Here is a 20459-nt window from a genome sequence, read left to right as displayed (position 1 = left end):
TTAAGAAATTATAAATTATAGAGGGAAAAATGAACGTGTGTGGTTTTGAATAAAGAAGCAATTTGAAAAAATTACTCTGTTTTCATATCTTTGAAGTTGTTACTGTGGTACTCTGTAGAACCAGATGGGTATAATTATTATTTAATTAAGAAAAATAGACAGAATAGGTATTATTTGTCACAATAAAGAGGATACAGTCTCTACCCTTAAGGAAGTTTGCTATGCATTGATGTCTATCAGTATATGTAAAGTGGTATGGCTTTTATAAAACTAATACATTTTGAATTTAAACATTTAAAGGCAATATATTGTTATGGTACATCGTGGTAAAGTGTTTCACTAGTTTTTCATTTGTTTTCACTAGAAGAATGAAACATCAAAATTGGAAATGGCTTATTTTCAATTTCTTGTTCTTAACTCAGTGGTTCCCAGCCCAGCTGTACTTTACAATCAACCAAGAGCCTTTGAAACATGCAAATGTGTGACCCTTACTTGCAGATATTCTAATTTAGGTGGTAAGAAGTGGGGCCAAAATCCTTTTCAAAAAATTCCCTGGTCATACTTATATGAATCACGACTGACAAGCTCTGGTACTTAGTTCTTGAATGAAATAAAAATGTTTGATTAATCATTACTATTAGCTGATTAATCTTGATAAATGTTTGTGCCTGTTTTTATCTCTATTGCATATGTATGTTATTAATTAACACATAAGGAAGCAATGAGAAACTGGCCCAGGATATTGCAACTCCTTCATCAAGGAGTTATGGGCATAAAGTTTAAAAAAAAGAGAGACAGAAAACCTTCAGAAATAATTCTGAAAACTTAATGCCTTACACTGTAGTAACCTTGTTTGGGAAGACACATTGGTAATTAGAGTGCTGTTATATCTTTGCTATCTGGGGTTGAAGTTTAATTTAACTAACAAATATACTTAATCTTGGAAAAATTATTCCTCACATGGATTGTGTTATGTTTGAAAAAAATTCTCTGGAGTGGACATGTTTAGATATGATAAATTGAATTTGTTCTCAATCACTTAGCAGTGAAAAAGGGCTACGTAGAGATCACCTGGATCATCCACAAATTTTTTTTAAATAATAAAAGACAACAACAAGAAGTGTCCAGGGCAGAGAAATTGCCAAATACTACTGATTTTAGTTAATTTCATTCAATTTTCTAAACTCTTCTTAGGTTTTTCTTGTTTGTGTGTTTGCTTGTTTGTTTGTTTTAATATTCTTGCTTTCAAATGTAGGATTTACCTTCAGTTTTTCCCAGAAGAAACAAGTTGATTCAGCCTATCATGTGGCTGTATTCTGCTAGATAATAGTTCTAGAAACAACTTAAGATATTGATTATATAATTTGGTCCTTAAGATTGCTCAAAATAACACAAATTTGACAGTTGTCCTACTATTTCACAAAACTATACTTAAGTACCAATATTCATCTTAACCATCAAGCCTAATAATTTCTATGTATATCAAGATGATGAAAATTTATTTTTATTTTGTGTAAATTGTGATGGGTTATTTATATCTTTAATAATTTGCCTTTCTGGGGGCACTTTAAAAGTTGGATAGCAACGTGTTCAGAAGGAATATTTATGAAGGTTCAATTGCTGTATTTCTAAAAGTGTGCAAAGAATAAACTGATAAAAATCATAAAAACTCAGAAGTATTATTTACATGAGACTACAGTGAAGGAAATACACGTTTGATAAATTTTGCAAACCAGTGCACCTTAGTTCCCCTAAATACCAGTTAATTAAGCCTTTCCCCTATGCAGGCAGTAAATTTTAATATACCAGCTTATTTTTCACATACTCATGTTCAAAACAAATAGGTATATTACAAAGTTTTGACCAGGTAAAACCAAGACTGAATTTGAACAGTAATGACAAATCATGTCTGAAATGATAAAACTGTAAGGACCAATTAACATTATGGAGAATAAGTGGGAGCTCTGTACTGCAATTGTCCGGGGAGAAATCAGTACCCACCCAAGTCACAGAAACCATCCTTGAGAATGTGAATGATTTTCTCTGTTCTCTGAGAATATATGCATAATGGCATTGTGTTAGTAGGAAGACCAGCTATGTCTGACATATTTGTTTGTAAGAATTTTCCAAAATTATGTGGGTATAAATTAAAAAGCAAATATTTGATTTAGCCATACATGCTTACTTGTGCCCAGTGTTAACATTTGCTTGCAAGATATTTAGAGCAAATTGTTCTCCTTCTCTGGCTGCGATGTCATGGTAGCTGTTATTAAGAGCCACAAGTAAAATTTATCCAATAAAGTATTTAAAGCCAAGTCAAGATAGGAAAGGATGAGGAAAAACTGAAGCATATGAGTCATAAAAACCCAAGCAGGATATTGAAACAAGGAGGAAGATGGAGCCCGAAGGATGGGAATAGGGTATAGAAAATAGCCTAGGAAGGTGGGTGCTGGAAATATTCTATATTTTGCTCTAAGTGGTTACATAGATGTAAATGAAAGTCACCATTACACACTTATAATTGGTGTACTTTATGCCTTTTTTTCTGTGTGTGTTACTTCTCAGTTTCAAAATGTACTAACAGCAATAACAGCAAGCAGGAAGAAATCAGTGTAAGAACCCAAGGTAAACAGAAGAGCAGGGATTAATGAGATACACACAAGGACAATGTAGTTAAATTCTTACATATTTGCTGTTGCTGGCTTTTATGTGTTCTTTGCAATTAAGGAGTCGTTAGCAGAATGGACAAATCATCACAGTTAATATTTAAGAAACTACTTACTAATGCCCAGCAGTCAGAAGAGGTGGCTTTTATGATGCCAAATATTTAAGAAAAGACTAATCTCTAACGTTAGCCAAGGGAATTCTCTTTTGCAATACTACATGGTTAAGAGATGACTGACTTCTTACATTATCCAGGTGATCTGGATGTTTTAATATACATTGTTTAGATCCTCATTGAACATTAGCTGTAGCAGTTGGTTATTTTAATAATCAGTGTTCAAGAAAGATTAGTGCCTAATATTGGTAAAAAAAAGATTGAACTATTTTAAAGTCTAATACACGTTCACTTAAAATAATTGCCACAAAGTGTGTTCTCAAAAATTGTTTGTTGAAATAATTAATGAGTATGAAAATCCTATCTAAAGAATTATGAGTGCAATTACCATTCTATTAATGTATCCTTAGAGACATATTTAATAAATATGTCTTATAATCTTATCTGAAATGGGAGACACATTTGGGTTTAATTTACATTCATGTAGTATTATACAAAGCTTGGTAAGCCTTGGTAAGCTTTGAAGCTTTGAAGCCTTGGTAAGAACCAGTGGGATGCCAGAGATCAGAAAATACCAGAATAAAGAGATGATGGAGATACTGATATAAGAATCTGTTAAGATTGTCAGGCTTTTGAGTTACAAAATCAGGAGTGAGTTGAGACCAAGGAATAAAATATTAATAATGGCTGGGGGTAAGGGGTATAATCAAAATGGCAGGGAAGCAGAAAGATATAAACAGGATATAAACACTCCGAATCAGAGAAACAGAAACAAAGATGAAGCTCTGAACAAATTACTGGTATCATGAGTGGGTCTTAAGAAAACACATTTTATCTGGGAAGGCTCAGTGATTTCCAAAGCATCTCTAGCCCTAAGCAGAAAGTTTTCTGTCTTAAAGAGCATTAGACACTGCCTTCCTCCATTGTCCGTGTGTCATTTGAGTTATTCTAATATCAGAGTGACTACTTCACAGGTAGGCCAATGGGGAATTTCAGCTGTGTGGGCTAGATATAGGTTGATTCATTAAATTTCTAGGGCACTATATATTGTATCACATATCCCTGACATAAAAACTAAAACAGGAAACTTCCAGCTTCAAAAATGGTGGTGTAGACACAAGCCAGCTTTGCTTTCCCCCATGGAAAACCAAAAACAAATATACAGCACTGAAACTGTCACCAGGAATATCCCAGAACTCAAATATGAAGATGAGTCAGTTCCTGGGGTCACAAAAAAAAGTAAAAACAAGCAAACAACCAACAACAACAACAACAACAACAACAACTCTCCAACCAGACTGTGAGAGAATCAGATTTTCACATATGCAACACTCCTTATCCCAAGCTGACTGGCACCAGTGTGCAAAAACTTGTCCTTGACTCATGTTTTCTACACTAGAAAAAGTGAAATTGAGGTGGACAAGCAGCTTCCCCACCATCTTTTCTTTGGCGGGAGACCTGTCCATGCCTCAAACCACAGGAAGCATCATGATTGCCTGAAGAGAGATATATCTCTAAGGACAGCCAGTGGCAAAGGGTGGAAGCTAGACTAGCATCTCCACCCCTGGAAACTCTGCTGTGTAGCTCAGCCAAAGGAGACGCCAAATTAGAATGGCTGTTCAGCAGCACCATGCTGAAGTGGGTATGTTCCACAGGTCCCCTGGGCACAAACCCCTAGCAAGTCTTTCAACACTACACAGATATCCCCTCTGGGATCTTTCCCACTCTGAATGGGCAGTGTTCTGATTATTTGCCAGAGCTGAGACAAACCTGGGCTTTAGGCACCATTTAGCACCAAAAAGGAGGTAGTGACTTAGTGTGGGAAAACATAAGAAACTCAATAGGTAAATTATGAAGAATCTCTAAGCAAACATATTCAATGAAAAACAAACAAGGCTGGGCACAGTGGCTCATGCCCGTAATCCCAGCACTTTAAGAGGCCAAAGCAGGAGGATCACTTGAACCCAGGAGTTCAAGATCAGCTTGGGCAACATAGTGAGACCCTGCCTCTACAAAAAATGAAAATTAGCCAGGTGTAGTGGCACATGCCTGTAGTCTCAGCTCCTCTTGAGGCTGGGGTGGAAGGATCACTTGAGCCGAGGAAGCTGAGTTGGCAGTGAACCATGATTGTACCACTGAACTCCTTCTTGAATGATAGAGCAAGACGCTATTTATTTGTTAAAAAATCAAAACAAGACAGACCAGAAGACTGAAATAAATAACTAATTTTTCAATGCAAAGACATAAGAAATGATAGCAAATAGGGAACTATGACCTTCCCAAATGGACAAAGCAAGAGCCAGTGACTGACCCTAACAAGAGAGCAATATGTGAGCTCTCTCACCAAGAATTATAGCAGTATAAAAATTTATAGCAGTATAAAAAATTTACAGCAGTATGAAAAACTTAGTGATAACCAAGATAATGTAGAAAAACAATTCAGAAATGTATTAGAGAAATTTAACAAACAGGTTGAAATAATAATAATTACAAAACCCGGAAATCTTGGAACTGAGAAGTACATTCGCTGAACTGAAGAACACATTGAAGGTTCTCAACAGCAGAGTGGATCAAGCAGAGGAAAGAATAAGTGAACTTAAATGAAGGCTATTTGAAATTATACAATCAGAAGAGAAGAAAATAGAATGAAAAGGAATGTAGATTGCTTATAAGATAAAGAAAATTACCTCAAAACACCAACTCTAAGAATTGTTGCTGTTCAAGAGGGAGTTGAGCAAGAGCAAGGGGTAGAAAGCTTAATTTAAAAATAATAATAACAGAAAACATTCCAAAACTTAAGAAAGATATAAATATCCAGGTACAGGAAGTTCAGAGTACACCAAACAGGTACACCAAACAGTACACCAAATAAGACTACCCCAAGGCATGTAATAATCAAACACTCAAATGTCAAAGGCAAATAAATTATCCTAAAAGCAGCAAGATAATAGAAGCAAATAATATAGAAAGGAATTCCAATTCATCTGGCAATAGACTTCTTAAGGGAAACCACACAGGCCAGGAAGAATGACACTTTCAATGCACTGAAAGAAAAAAAAAAACAAACCTTCCAGCCAAGAATACTTTGTCCGGCAAATCTATTTTTCAACTATGAAGGAGAGGTAAAGTCTTCCCCAGACAAACAAAAGCGACAATAATTCATCACCACTGGAGCAATATTAAAAAGAAATGCTACAGGGAGTTTTACAATCTAAAAGGAAAAAAAATACTAATGCCCAAAAATAATTTTGAAGGTTTAAAACCCACTGGTAAAATTAAGTACAGAGACAACCCCAGAATATTCCAATACTATAGTTGTTGTGTGCAATCGACTCAGAACTCTAATATTAGACCTAAAAGACAAATCTATCAAAAACAATAATAGCTACAAAACAAGTTAAGAGAGATAGGCATTATAAAATATGCAAATTGAGACAAGTGAAAGTCAAAAAGTGAAAAGGATGAAGTTAAAGTGTAGAGTTTTCTTTAAAAGCTTTTGTTTGTTTTGTGGTGTGTGTGTAATGTAAGATAAGTTGTCATCTCTTTAAAATAACTTGTTTTATCTCTAAGATGTTTTTGTAAGCCTCATGGTAACTACAATGCAAAAACCTGTAATAGATACACTAAAAATAAAAAGCAATGAATTAAACAGTGCTACTAGAGGGAATCACTTAACCATAAAGGAAGACAGCAAGAAAAGAAGGAAGAGAGGAATTACAAAACAATCAGAAAATAAGCAACGAAATGGCAGTAGCAAGTCCTTATTTATTACACTGAATGTGAATAGACTCAATTCTCCAACTAAAAGGCATAGAGTAGCTGAATGGATAAAGAAGTGGACCCAACTATATGCTGCCTACAAGAAACCTACCTTACCTGTAGAGAAACACATAGACTAACACATAGAGAAATGATGGAAAAAGTTTTTCCAGGCAAGTGGAAACAAAAAAGATCAAGAGTAGCTCTGTTTGTATCAGATAAAATAGACTATAAGTCAAAGATTATAAAAAGAGATGAAGACAGTCACTATATAATGATAAAAGGGTCAATACAGTAAAAGGGTATAACAATTATAAATGTCTATGTACCCAACACTGGAGCTCCCAAGTATATAAAACAAGCATTAATAGACCTAAAGGGAGATATAGACTGCAATACAGTCATAGTAGTGGAGTTCAACATCCCACTCTCAGTAATGGACAGAGTACCTAGACAGAAAATCAACAATGAAACATCAGAGTTAAAACCTCACACTAGACAAACTAGATATTCATAGAACATTTGTCCGAACTTCTGTAGAATACACATTCTTTCCATAAGCACATGAAATATTCTCCAGAGTGGAACATATTTTAGGCCACAAAACAAGTCTCAATAAATTTTAAAAAGTAGAAATGATATCAAGTAGCTTTTTTTTTTTACTGCAAAGAAGTAAAACTAACAATCAATAACAAAAGTAATCTTGGAAACTACACAAACACACAGAAATTAAACAACATGCTCCCAGATGACCAATGGGTCAACGAAGAAATTAAGAAGAAAATTTAAAAATTTCTTGGAACCAATGAAAATGAAAATATAACATACCAAAATCAATGGGGTACAGCAAAAGCAGTACTGTGATGGAAGTTTATAGCAATAAATGCCTACATTAAAAAAGTTGAAAGTCTTCAAATAAATGACCTAATGATGTACCTCAAGGAATTAGAAAAACAAGAACGAACCAAGCCCCAAAATTGAATGAAAGAAATAATAAAGATCAGAACAGAAATAAATAAAATTGAGATAAAAAACACAAATTAATGAAATAAAAAGTTGGTTTTTTGAAAAGATAAAATCCATAAACTTTTAGCTAGACTAACTAAAAAAGAAAAGAGAGAGAAATAAACAAAAATAAGTGAAATAAGACACAAAAAGGAGAAACGACAACTGAGACCACAAAAGTATAAAGAATTATGAGACCACTACAAACAATCATATGTCAACAAATTAAAAGACCTAGAAGACTTGGATAAATTCTTAAACACATAAAACCTATCAAGATTAAAACCTGAAGAAACAGAAAAATTTAACAAACCAGTAATGATTAATGAGATCAAAGTGATAATAAAAAGTCTCCCAAGAAAGGAAAGCCTAGGATGTGATGGCATCACTACTGAATTCTACCAAATATTTAAAGAAGATATAATAGCAATCCTCAAACTCATCAAAAAAAATTTAACATGAGAGAATACTTCCAAATATATTCTATGAGGCCAGCATTACTCTGATATATATATACACACACACACATATATATACATATATATATATAAAACACACACACATATATATACGTATATATATACACACACATATATATACATATATACACACATATATACATATATATACACACATATATACATACATATATATACATATATACACATATATATACATATATATACACACATGTATATGTATAAAACACACAAAAAAACCCAAGGACACAAAAAAACATAATACTACAGGCCAATATCCCTAATGAACATAGATGCAAAAATTCTCAATAAAATTGCAGCAAACCAAATTCAACACATTAAAAAGACCATTTACATGATCAAATGGGATGCATCCAATGGATGCAAGGATAATTCACTATAATCAAATCTGTAAACGTGATACATCACATTAACAGAACAGAGAACAAAAACCATATGATCATTTTGATAGATGAAGAAAAGGCATTCAATAAAATTCATCATCCTTTTGTAATAAAAACTGTTAACAAACTTTGTATAGACAGAACATACTTCAAAATAATAAAGGCTATGTATGACAAACATATAGCTAACATAATACTGGATGGAGAAAAATTGAAAGCCTTTCCTCTAAGATCTGGACCAAGACAAGGATGCACTTTCACCAGTTTTATTCAACATAATACTGGAAGTCTTGCCTAAAGCAATTAAGCAAGATAAAGAAAGAAACAACATCCAAATTGGAAAGGAAGAAGTCAAATATGCTTTGAATGCAATGACCTGATCTTGTATTTAGTGAAAACTAGAGACTTCACCAAAAAATTGGTTAGGACTGACAAATAAATTTAGTAAAGTTGCAGTATATACAATCAAGGCTGGGTGCAGTGGCTCACATCTGTAATCTCAGCACTTTGGGAGGCCGAGGCAGGCAGATCACTTGAGGCCAGGAGTTTGAGACCATCCTGGCCAACATGGTGAAACCCTGTCTCCACTAAAAATAGAAAAATTAGAGGGGCGTGGTGGCATGTGCCTGTAGTCCCAGCTACTCGGGAGGCTGAGACAGGAGAATCTCTTGAATGCGGGAAGCAGAGGTTGCAGCAAGCTGAGATTGCACCACTGCACTCCGGGCTCAGCAATAGAGTGAGACTGTCTCAAAAAAAACAAAAAAAAAAAATCAGCATTCAAAAATCAGCAGTCTTTGAATACAGTAACAGTAATCAATTTGTAAAAGGAATCAAGAAAGCAACCCAATTTACAATAGCTACAAAGAACATAAAATATTAGGAGGCAATTTAACCAAAAATGTGAAAGATCTTAACAAGGAAATCTATGAAACATCGATGAAAAAAATTGAAGAAGAAACAAAAAAAAAAGGATACTTTATGCTCATTGATTGGTAGAATCATTAATATTGTTAAAATGACAGTAGTACCCAAAGCAATTTACAGATTCAATGCAATTTGTATCAGAATACTGATGACATTCTTCACAGAAATGGAAAAAAAAATCCGAAAACATAAATAGAACCACCTAAGACCTCCAATAGCCAAAGCAATTCAGAGCAAAAAGAACAAAGCTGGAGGCATCACACTACCTGACTTCAGAATAAATTACCAAGCTATGGTAACCAAACTATCATGGTGTAAAAAAAAAGCTGGCATGAAAACAGACACATAGACCAATGGAACATAATACGGGACCCAGATATAAGTCTATACATTATAGCCAACTCATTTTTTGACAAAGGCACCAAGAACACTCAGTGAGGAAAGAAGATTCTCTTCAATAAATGGTGCCAGGCAAACAATAATCATATGCAGTAGAATTAAACTAGACCCCTATCTCTCACCATATACCAACATGAAATCACAATGGATTAAAGACTTAAATCTAAGACCTGAAACTATGAAACTACTAGAAGAAAACATTGGAAAAATGCTACAAGACATTGGGCTACACCCAGAATTTTTGTGTTAAGACCTTGAAAAGCACAAACTACAAAGCCAAAAATAGATGAATGGGAATACATTAAGCTAAAAAACTTCACACAGAAAAGGAAATAATGAAAAAAGTGAAAAGACAACCCACAGAATAGAGAAAATATTTACAAACTATCCATCTGACAGGGGATTAATGACCAGAATACATAAGGAGCTCAAACAACTCAATAGCAAAAAAACAAATAATCTGATTAAAAAATAGGCAAAGATTTGAAAAGACATTTGAAAAAGATTTGAATAGACATTTACCAAAAGAAGACAAAGAAATGGCCCCCAGGTATACAAAACATGCTCAACATCACTAATCACAGAAATGCAAATAAAAACCACAATGAGACATTATCTCACCACAATTAGAATGGCTTTTATCAGAAAGTCAGGGAATAACAGATGCTGGTGAGGATGTGGAGAAAGGGGAGTCCTCATACACTGTTGGTGGAAATGTAAATACACTGTTGGTGGAAATCAGGCTGGGCACAGTGGCTCATTCCTGCAATCCTAGCACTTTGGGAGGCTGAGGCAGGTGAATTGCATGAGCCCACGAGTTCAAGACCAGCCTGGGCAACATGGCAAACCCCCATCTCTACCCAAAATACAAAAATTAGGTGTGGTGGCATGCACTTGTAGTCCTAGCTACTCAGGAGGCTGAGGCAGGAGGATCAATTGAGCCCAAGAGTTTGAGGCTGCAGTGAACCATTTTCATGCCACTGCACTCTAGCCTGGGAGACAGAGTGAAACCCTGTCTAAAAAAAAAAAAAGAAAAGAAAAAAAGAAAAGACATCAATATATCAAAGAGATTTGCATTCCCATATTTATTATAGCACTGATATGGTTTGTCTCTGTGTACCCACCCAAATTTCATCTCGAATTGTAATCCCCACATGTCAAGGAAGGAAGCTGGTGGGAGGTGATTGGATTATAGAGGTAGTTTTCCCCATGCTGTTCTTGTGATAGTGAATGAGTTCTTATGAGATCTGATGGTTTAAAAGTGTCAGTTTCCCTTCTGCTCTCTCTCTCTCTCCTGTTGGCTTTTGAAGAAGGTGCCTTGCTTCCCCTTCGCCTTCTGCTGTAATTGAAGTTTCCTGAGGCCTCGACAGCCATGTGGAAATGTGAATCAATTAAACTTCTTTTGTTTATAAATTACCCGGTCTCAGGAAGTATCTTTATAGCAATGTGAAAATGGACTAATACAAGCACTATTCACAATAGCCAAAATATGAAATTAAACAAAGTGTCCATCAATGGATAAACAGATTAAGAAAATGTTGTAAATATACACAATGGAATATTATTCAACCCTAAATAAGATTAAAATCTTGTCATTTGCAGCAACACGGATGGAACTGGAGGTCATTATGTTAAGTGAAATAAGCCAAGTACAATAGACAAACATTGCATCTTCTCACACATATGTGGGAGCTAAAAAAGTGAATCTCTGGCTGGGTGCAGTGGCTCATGCCTATAATCTCAGCACTTTGGGAGGCCAAGGCAGGTGGATCACCTGAGGTCAGGAGTTCCAGACCAGCCTGACCAACATCTCTATTAAAAATACAAAATTGGCCATCTCTATTAAAAATACAAAATTGGCCGGGCATGGTGGCACATGCCTGTAATCCCAGCTACTCAGGAGGCTGAGGCAGGAGAATCGCTTTAACCCAGGAGGCGGAGGTTGCGGTGAGCCAAGGTCGTGCCATTGCACTCCAGCCTGGGCAACAAGAGCTAAAGTCCATCTCAAAAAAAAAAAAAAAGTGAATCTCATGAAGATAGAGAGCAGATTGGTGGTTACCAGAAGCTAGGAAGGGTAGAAAAAAGAGGGGATGAATAGAGTTTCATTAATGGGTACAAAAGTACACTTCGCAGAACTAAGACCTGGTAGACCTGGTGCTCAATAGATGAGTAGAGTGACTATAATTAACATCAGTGGATTCTAAGGCAAGATGTGGTGGTTTATGCCTGTAATCTCAGCACTTTGAGAAACCAAGGTGGGAGAATGGCTTAAAGCCAGGAGTTTGAGACCAGCCTGGGTAACAAAGCAAGACCTCATCTTAAAACAAAACAAAATATTAATCAAGTGTACTTTCAAAAATAGATACAGGGGACTAATTCAAACACTCCTAGAGTAAAGAAAATATAAATATTTAAGGTGATGGATATCCCAAAGTGGCCTGATCTGATTATATGAATGTATCAAATTATCACCTGTAGCCAAAAAATATGTATATCTGAGCCAATAAAAAATAAATTACGTAAAATTTTTTTCTAATTTAAAAAAGACCAAGTAGATATGGGATAGAAATGAGCATTTCCAATCAACATAGTTGACTAGAACACTGCACAGTCTTAGAAAATTGTAGCAGGTTATACTGTAATCATTGACCAACTGAATGATGTGTTAATATAACCATTCATTCACGTGTATGTGTTTGTGAAGCTAAGTGGATGCATTATCTAATTGAAGAAGCTGACACACGGGTAGTGATAACCACATATTATATGCATGCATGAAAACAGAAATCAATAATCATTATCTGTGAATTATATCTAGTTCATCAAATTGGGGCCATGGGGAACGCAAAGGTGATATTAGGATGAGAAGAGTCCTCCAACCTTGCCCCCCTGCCAAAAGGCCTGCCCTCCCCTGTAGAACAGAGGAAATCAGGTGAGGATGACAGCATGAAAAAAGTCAATGCAAAGCACCAGTAATCATAACAGTGTCTGGTAAAAACCGATATAGAGGTAAAATTCTGTTCCACCTAGGAGTTTCTTAAATATTTCCTTTTCAGGGAGTATACTAAACACTGGCAGTCCTAAATCAGTAAGGAATAGCAGGTTTGTGAAGTTGAGACTAAAGGTGTTATAAGAAACTAAGAGTGACTGGACTCTAAGCTGAGACGTCAGGGGCCACCTTTCATAAAACTCCCCTCTATTTGTGCTATTCCTTCTTTGACCCTAGAGGCTGGATTCCCTCCAGCTTCTATTACTGGTCTCAGACAAGATTAAATGATACATTTTAGCAGTACTTTACAGGTAGACACTATTACATTTGATACATTTTAGATGACATTCGAATAATGTCAGCTAAGCTAGAATTAGAGACTTAGAGATTCAAAACACTCTGTATACTTTTTCATTTTCATTTTCATTTTTCAGAAATATCTTGTGGTTTTTTAAATCTAAAAACTGCCAAGCTAGGTAGAAGGGTATTACTACTTTTATATGGGATTCTTAGTCATTCAAAATTTGTCATATGAATATATTAAAGAAAAATTAAGTCTTTACATTTCCAAGACACCAAACCCTCCTTCAGTAAACCTTTAGAAAAAATAATAAAAATGTACTCATTTCAAAAAATCTAACTTTCTTCAGTTCCAACAGATATCCAAAGAATAGCAAAGTTGTGATTGTTCTGATTACTGGTAAAAGACAAGGATTTTCCTCACATTGCCATTTCTAGATAATAGAAAATTGAGAATATAACATAAATTAAGTAATCTCTTTCTGTTTCTCCTGAAGTCTCGGGCGCATCTTACAATATCTGGTTCATAAAATAGCTGGCATTTCCATAGCTCTTTGTGAAAGCAGGGAAGGCACAACATAGTCCAATGTTTGATGAATAAAATTTAGAGCCATAGAGATCAGTGTAGGGGTTTTAGATCTTTTACTTACTATAATCCTGGACAACCTTCTACCTCTCAATTTCCTCATTTTTAAAAAGCATAACAGGCTGGGTGTGGTGGCTCACGCCTGTTATCCCAGCACTTTGGGAGGCTGAGGCAGGTAGATCACAGGGTTAGGAGTTCGAGACCAGCCTGGCCAACGGGGTGAAACCCTGTATCCACTAAAAATACAAAAAAAATTAGCCAGGTGTGGTGGCACACACCTGTAATCCCAGCTACTCAGGAGGCTGAGGCAGGAGAATTTCCTGAACCCGGGAGGCGGAGGTTGCAGTGAGCCCAGATTGCGCCATTACACTCCAGCTTGGGTGACAGAGCAAGACTCTGTCTCGAAAAGCAAATAAATAAATAAATAAATAAATAAATAAATAAATAAATAAAATAAAATAAAAGCAGAAGATTATTAATATGTGTTTCATTGATTACTTCTAAGAATTAAAGAAGATAATATATGTAAGTGGTTGAGTGTCATAAAGGTATATACAAAGACTCAATAAATATTAGTTATTATTATTAATAATGGAAAGTTAAAATATATTGTAAGATTACAACATGTAGCTTTTTATTGTTGAATAGATGCTAAATCATATATATATTGAATCAGTTTCACAATATCCCATTTTCTATGAATAAATTGTAATCAAAGATGCTATAGCAATATTTTCACCATAAGCATGTCCATTCTACCATCAAAGTACTAGAGATCTCTCCATATAGGCTCATGTCTACATACCCAACCACACATATGCACACATTCAGCAGATGCAGAACTGAACAAATTATGTGTTTTTGAAGCAAAATACATTTGCATCTAGTTACGCAATTAGCACAAAGGAGAAGAGAAACTTACTCTTTTACAAAGTCTTTTCTCCCTGGTTTGAGATTTATGAGAGTAAATAACAAACTTTAAAATTACCTCTAAACTTATACACTTGCTCTATATTGAATATGGTGTTGTCTTCCTTTGGAGCATGATAGGACTTTTTTTTGTTTTCTTTTTTCCTTTGGCTAAATCTAATATTCAATAATGAATGAATGAATGAATGAATTCATTTACATCTTATGTCATTCAACAAATAATATTTCAGTAAGATACAGAAGTGTATAACATAGACAGCTTGTTTTCAAAGAGAAATATCCATACGATGTACATGTGTGTAAGTATTATATAGGAAAAACAGCCAGCACAATACCTTGCAGTGAGATGATGCTGGATACAGGGGTTCTTTGTATGTGTCTATACATTAAAAAAAAATGTACCGAAAGTGGATCTTCACTGATTTTCTATCATTTCAGCATTGTTTGTACAGAGAACTGAGATTAAGAGAGATGTCAGCGTTTGTCCGTGGATGAGTGAAGGGAAAGCAGGACCAAAGCAGAGAACAGTAATTTCTTTCCTTATTTATTTAACAGCATAGTGGTCTCATCCAAAAATCTCTTGAGGTTCTTTTACCAGGACCTGTCTCTATCTAACACCCCCCCACCCCACCTCTACCCCAATAATTGCAGCCAAGTCCCGTTTTCCCATGTTCTTTGTAGAATACATTTAAAAGTGCAAATGTCCCCAACCTTCTCCTTGTTCTACAATTTTTAAGCACTTATCTTAAAATATTCCACTTAATTTCATGTTTTTATCCATTGTTTAATTGCTGCCTCTCTCAACTAGAATATAAGGCAGTCATCTTTTTTAGATTCTTCACAACCTAAAGATTCTGGTTTATTGACTCCTCTTTTTCATAATCCCAACTTTATTTTACTCAAAGTGATTTCTACTCCAGTCTCCCTATTACCCTTCACATCAGCTCCTCTCTTTGCCAAATAAGGGCATAAAGGATAAAAAAAAAAAGAACAAAAATTCTGAATGTTACTTAAGTTAAATCTTCTTAAAGTTAATTCATTTTAAGTGGTGTATGCATGTGCATGAAAGAAAAATCTCTATGTCTAAGATTCTAATATTTTTCTGGTAGATGTTAATTTATTATTACTTAAACGAGCTATGGAAAAATGGAAACATGTCAGTTAATTGTCATAATTACGCAGTATGTTATTTCTATTGGAGCCTCTGATTTTCCAAGGGTTAATATATTTATTCAATGAAACAATCAGAGACAAGAACAACCCTGATAGGATGCAGAAATCTGAATTAACAAGGCTTTTAACTGTCTTTTTGTATTGATAGACCCCTAATTAAGTATTTTTAGAAACATAGCACTTTTACCAATCAAAAGCCTTTAATAGTCTTCTAAAATGAACTGTGTATATAATCAGCTATCTTTGCAAACCTTGCTTACAAACCATTAGTAAGCAGGCCATCAACCACAGTGTCAATACATTTTAAAAGAGGCTTTAGAAAACACCAATTTTATAATTCCCTTTAGTGGTTTACACTGAGGGAAACATATAATCTTTCTCTAAGGCTTCAAAACTTAGAAAGTAACATAGCTCAGAAGCACACTTTGGTAGGTGCCTAATTACTAGGACTGACTTTTAATTCCTTGCATGGATGACATACCACAAAACTATCTACCAAACAAGCAGGATGGATTCAAATATTATATTTAAAACTACCAAAAAAAACCCCTTGATTTTATTTTGATCCAGAAAGTCTATATATACTCATATGCATATTTTTGGCATGCTTGTTAAATTGTAAGTTTCTGATGGACAAGGACAAATGAAAAATATTTATAAATTGGAAAAGTAAGAAGCTGGAGGCAATTCTAAAGATAATTAAACAATGGAAAAAAACTTTTGAAAACAATCCACTTTAAAGAGGTAATGATGACATACCATAAACGTGATATTGTCTCAGTCAAAATTTGTAGAATCATTTTTTTCTTAGATTAAAAATGCAGCTCAAAAATTGAAAGCTAAAGGAAGAAAACAGAAAGCTTCAGGAATGCTTGCAAATTACTGAATACATGGGATAAGATATGTACATTCTCCATTAATGTAGACATTATCTCCGACATAACAAAGATTTAACTGTGCTTGCTCTAAACGGCCATGGCCTAGGACTGAAGGTTTCCTACCTCTGATTTTTGGAGTTTGGGGTAGGGAGTGAAGAAAGGAAGGGTTTCAGACAAACTCTAACTTTTGAGGGAAACATGGTGTCAGTGGCTTGTGGGTTATAGTTACCCAGATGCCTATTAATCAGGGTGTGACTCCAGCCATTCTATTAAGAATAACCTCTTTGGCAGGACCTAAAATGAGATCTGTACTCCTCTGGAAATTATATATAGCATGCTCCTTTTCCATCGGAAACTTATACTTTAACAAGCATGCCAAAAATATACATCCACACACAGGAGCACACATACATGTGCGTGCATGCAGAGACTAACTTTCTGGATCAAAATAAAGATATTTTTGACTTCTGGTTGCAACTTGTAAATTTACCCTGCTTCTTTGGTAAAGATGGTTTTATGTCTTTGATGCAAAAACTTTAAGAGCCTTAATGATTAGAATGATTAGTTGGCTTCTGTAGTATTAATTTTTAAAGAGAGCTAAAAAGTACAGTCATCGAAAATTCTCTTGTAACTCCTAAGTCTTCCACAGCATCTGTTAAAATCCCTACTATTAATCACAGCTTTTTTTGGGTGAGAGATTATCTCCTTAAGATTCCTACAAAAATTCATCTGTTGGTAGGGTAACACAGTAACTCATGAGCATATGTTACACATTCATGGTATTAACCCCATTGAAATATTCATGTTAATTTAGCTTTTTAACTACTTTAACCAAGCATAAAACAGAATCTGAAGAACTACAACAGCAAATTGTTAAGTTTTGATGTGGGAGAACTTTGAGGAGGAAGAATTTTGGAGGTCACAAATTAAGGGCACTTGACCAGCCAGGAAACAGCTCTAAAATATTTATTATGGAATTAAAAGAAGTCGTAAGAGAGAAGGAAAATACAAATAATGATTTTCCAAAGAGGAATTGGGGGTGTGGGGAACGGAAGACACAATGTTAGTTTAATTTATGGTTTGCCTATGATTAGCTTGCATACTTGAGTAAGGAGTAGGGCAGCTCTAATATTGCTGCCCTAGACCTATAGTATCTCTTGTTTAAGCCAAGATGTTTCATACCTTTGTTTTTAAAAAATTATGTGGTTTGTAAAGAATATCATTGTTATAACTTTATCTGTGTCATTTAGGAAGGACGAGGCTAAAATGTTTCTATTGTTTTCACGATTAACTTTTCTAATAGTTAATTAAATTAAATGAGAAAATAGTTAGCTTAAACATGTTTTCTTATACTTACTAGATTAATCATACTCCTCTTTTTCCTCGGCAAACTTCCGGACCCAAGGCCACAGAGTATACACTAGAATTAGTAGGCTTCCTTCCAGTATGCATTAGCTTTCCGCTCCCCACAATCAGAGTTGGGGTCTTGCCAAATGTCCGTTATGTTTGCTCTCAAACCGGTTTAATTTAGTTGTTATTGGAATTATGTAATTGCATTAAATGTTACATAAACTTATGCAATAAGAGTTGGAAGAAAATTTTTTTTTCTGGGAAAATTGAGTTGAATGTTTTAGAAAGACTCTCTAAAGACAATACGATTTTTTTAAATGCTGTTAAATTAGGTGTGTGTAAAAACTATAGAAGACTTTGAGGAAAATAAAACAAAAACTCATAAAGATTCTCATTATTTTGCTAAAGTTTTATTTTTATTTTTTCACTTTTAAGGAAGCCAATATTAGAAATCTCAGGAGATACATTAGAAGTATGGTGTGTAGGCTGGGAAAGGTGGCTCATGCCTATAGTTCCAGAACTTTGGGAAGCTGAGTCAGGCCATCTGCTTGAGCCCAGGAGTTTGAGACCAGCCTGGGCAACATAGGGAGATATTGTCTCTACAAAAATTAGCTGGGCATGGCTGCATGTGCATATGGTCCCAGCTTCTCAGGAGGCTGAGGAGGGAGGATCGATTGAGCTTGGAAAGTTGAGGCTGCAGTGAGTGGAGATTGCACCACTGCACTGCAGCCTGGGTGACAGCATGAGACCCTGTCTCAAAAAATAAATAAATAAATACATAAGGAAAAAGAAGTATGGTGTGTATGTGAAAGATATGATATGAGCTAATTGAAACAATTCTAATCAATAAACCTGTACTTGAGGAACAGGCCTTGGTCCTGCATCAGAGATTTCAGAATAAAATGCACACAAATGTGTTTCGGTAATATGTCAATGTATTTAAAATATGTAACATTAACACAATTAGAATGCAAGTTAGCCATTTTGTATTTGTTTGTGTATGAATGCATACTATTTTCCTTGTTTCTTAATTTACATGTCAAAATTTTATGAGACCTATTTTCAAGCATGCAATAAAACAGTGATTACCATAGCATTTAGTAAGTTTGTTGGCAATATCTGATGTCTTCTAAAGAGTTAGATTAATTTGGGTCTTTAAAACAGCATACTGATTCCTTGTACTATTTTTTTTTTTAAATAGAGGTCGCTTTGTAAGACTTGTATCTCTGGCAGAACGGATGAAGATGGGAGTGTTCAGGAGATGTGAGGCTGTCTGTGTTTAAATTGTCTTATCAATAACGTGGTCCACAGCAGTGTCTCCCACATTGGTCTCTGAACAGATGATACAGTGTTTCCTAACCCATGATGAAATGAGGAAAATAAAAACAATGCAGTTATTTTAAAAGCCTAAATGTATTTCATGTTAAGGACTGTATTTATTCTTAAACATGTCCATTTTCTTGTTTTGTGTTGAAATTGACTATTTTTTTGAAATTAAAATAACGAAAACTTAGAAAAATCTTTAATAGGCAAAAAAAAGTTTTGGAGTCTCCATATATCCTATGTTGAAGTTTTTCTTTTTTATTTTCTTTTGATTGATACTTATTCCAACCAATAGTAGAGAGAAGGGAGCTAACAGCTCTCTTGGAACAGTATATAACCTGTTTTATCTTTCTTATTTACAGGGAATCCTATGGGGGAAAAAATGGATATAGGCACATGGGGATCATCCAAACAGGTAGACTCTTGGAAAAGTTTGATTAACCCTTGTTCTGCAATCTACAAAACAGAAATATGCAGGGAGCTTTGTACAGCTTTGGTTGCTCGTGGAGGAAGAGGCATGATGAGGCTTTTGCTTTAAGAATGAGCATAGTGGCTGGGTGCAGTGGCTCACGCCTGTAATCCCAGCATTTTGGAAGGCCGAGGCAGCTAGATCACCTGAGGTCAGGAGTTGGAGACCAGCCTGGCCAAATGGTGAAACCCCGTCTCTACTAAAAATACATAAAAAAAAAAAAAAAAAAAAATTAGCCGGGCATGGTGGTGAGCGCCTGTAAACTTAAGCTACTCTGGAGGCTGAGGCAAGAGAATCACTTGAACCCGGGAGGTGCCACTGCACTCCAGCCTGGGTGACAGAGTGAGACTCTGTCTCAAAAAAAAAAAAAAAAAAAAAGAATGAGTATAGCTACTATCAATATGATAGACAACTATGTGACCTAGGTACAAGTGAGGAGGAGGGAGAGGATCAAAAGGTAATTCTCTGTTCAGTATGAAGTTGAACAGAATGAAGTTAAATGAAGAGGCATCTCTGTGGAACCGCATCCATCCTCAGTTGGCTGTGGGCACTATTGATAAAGATTATCAATTACATCACTCATATGTAAAATAATTATAACAAATATAACACATATCAATGATTTCTATTCTGAGATAAGAAACTTGAGAAATCAGTAGAAAAACCAGACTGGACCGAGGTTAGGCTTAGCTTTCTCATAGTTCAAAGCATA

The 20459-nt window shown here is 35.1% G+C and overlaps 2 annotated features.

The window, feature by feature from the left end:
• Positions 7684-7858: a silencer, noted in NCBI's record as "fragment chr13:91988812-91988986 (GRCh37/hg19 assembly coordinates)". NCBI's record gives its function as "represses an EF-1alpha promoter that drives an FKBP-Casp9 reporter gene in an ReSE screen in K562 erythroleukemia cells {active_cell/tissue: K562}" and the evidence as "EXISTENCE:reporter gene assay evidence [ECO:0000049][PMID:32094911]".
• Positions 18629-18849: a silencer, noted in NCBI's record as "fragment chr13:91977821-91978041 (GRCh37/hg19 assembly coordinates)". NCBI's record gives its function as "represses an EF-1alpha promoter that drives an FKBP-Casp9 reporter gene in an ReSE screen in HepG2 liver carcinoma cells {active_cell/tissue: HepG2}" and the evidence as "EXISTENCE:reporter gene assay evidence [ECO:0000049][PMID:32094911]".

This window comes from Homo sapiens, chromosome 13 (assembly GCF_000001405.40).
Source record: "Homo sapiens chromosome 13, GRCh38.p14 Primary Assembly".
In the NCBI taxonomy this organism is placed as follows: domain Eukaryota; kingdom Metazoa; phylum Chordata; class Mammalia; order Primates; family Hominidae; genus Homo; species Homo sapiens.
This window is presented reverse-complemented; position numbering and strand designations above follow the sequence as displayed.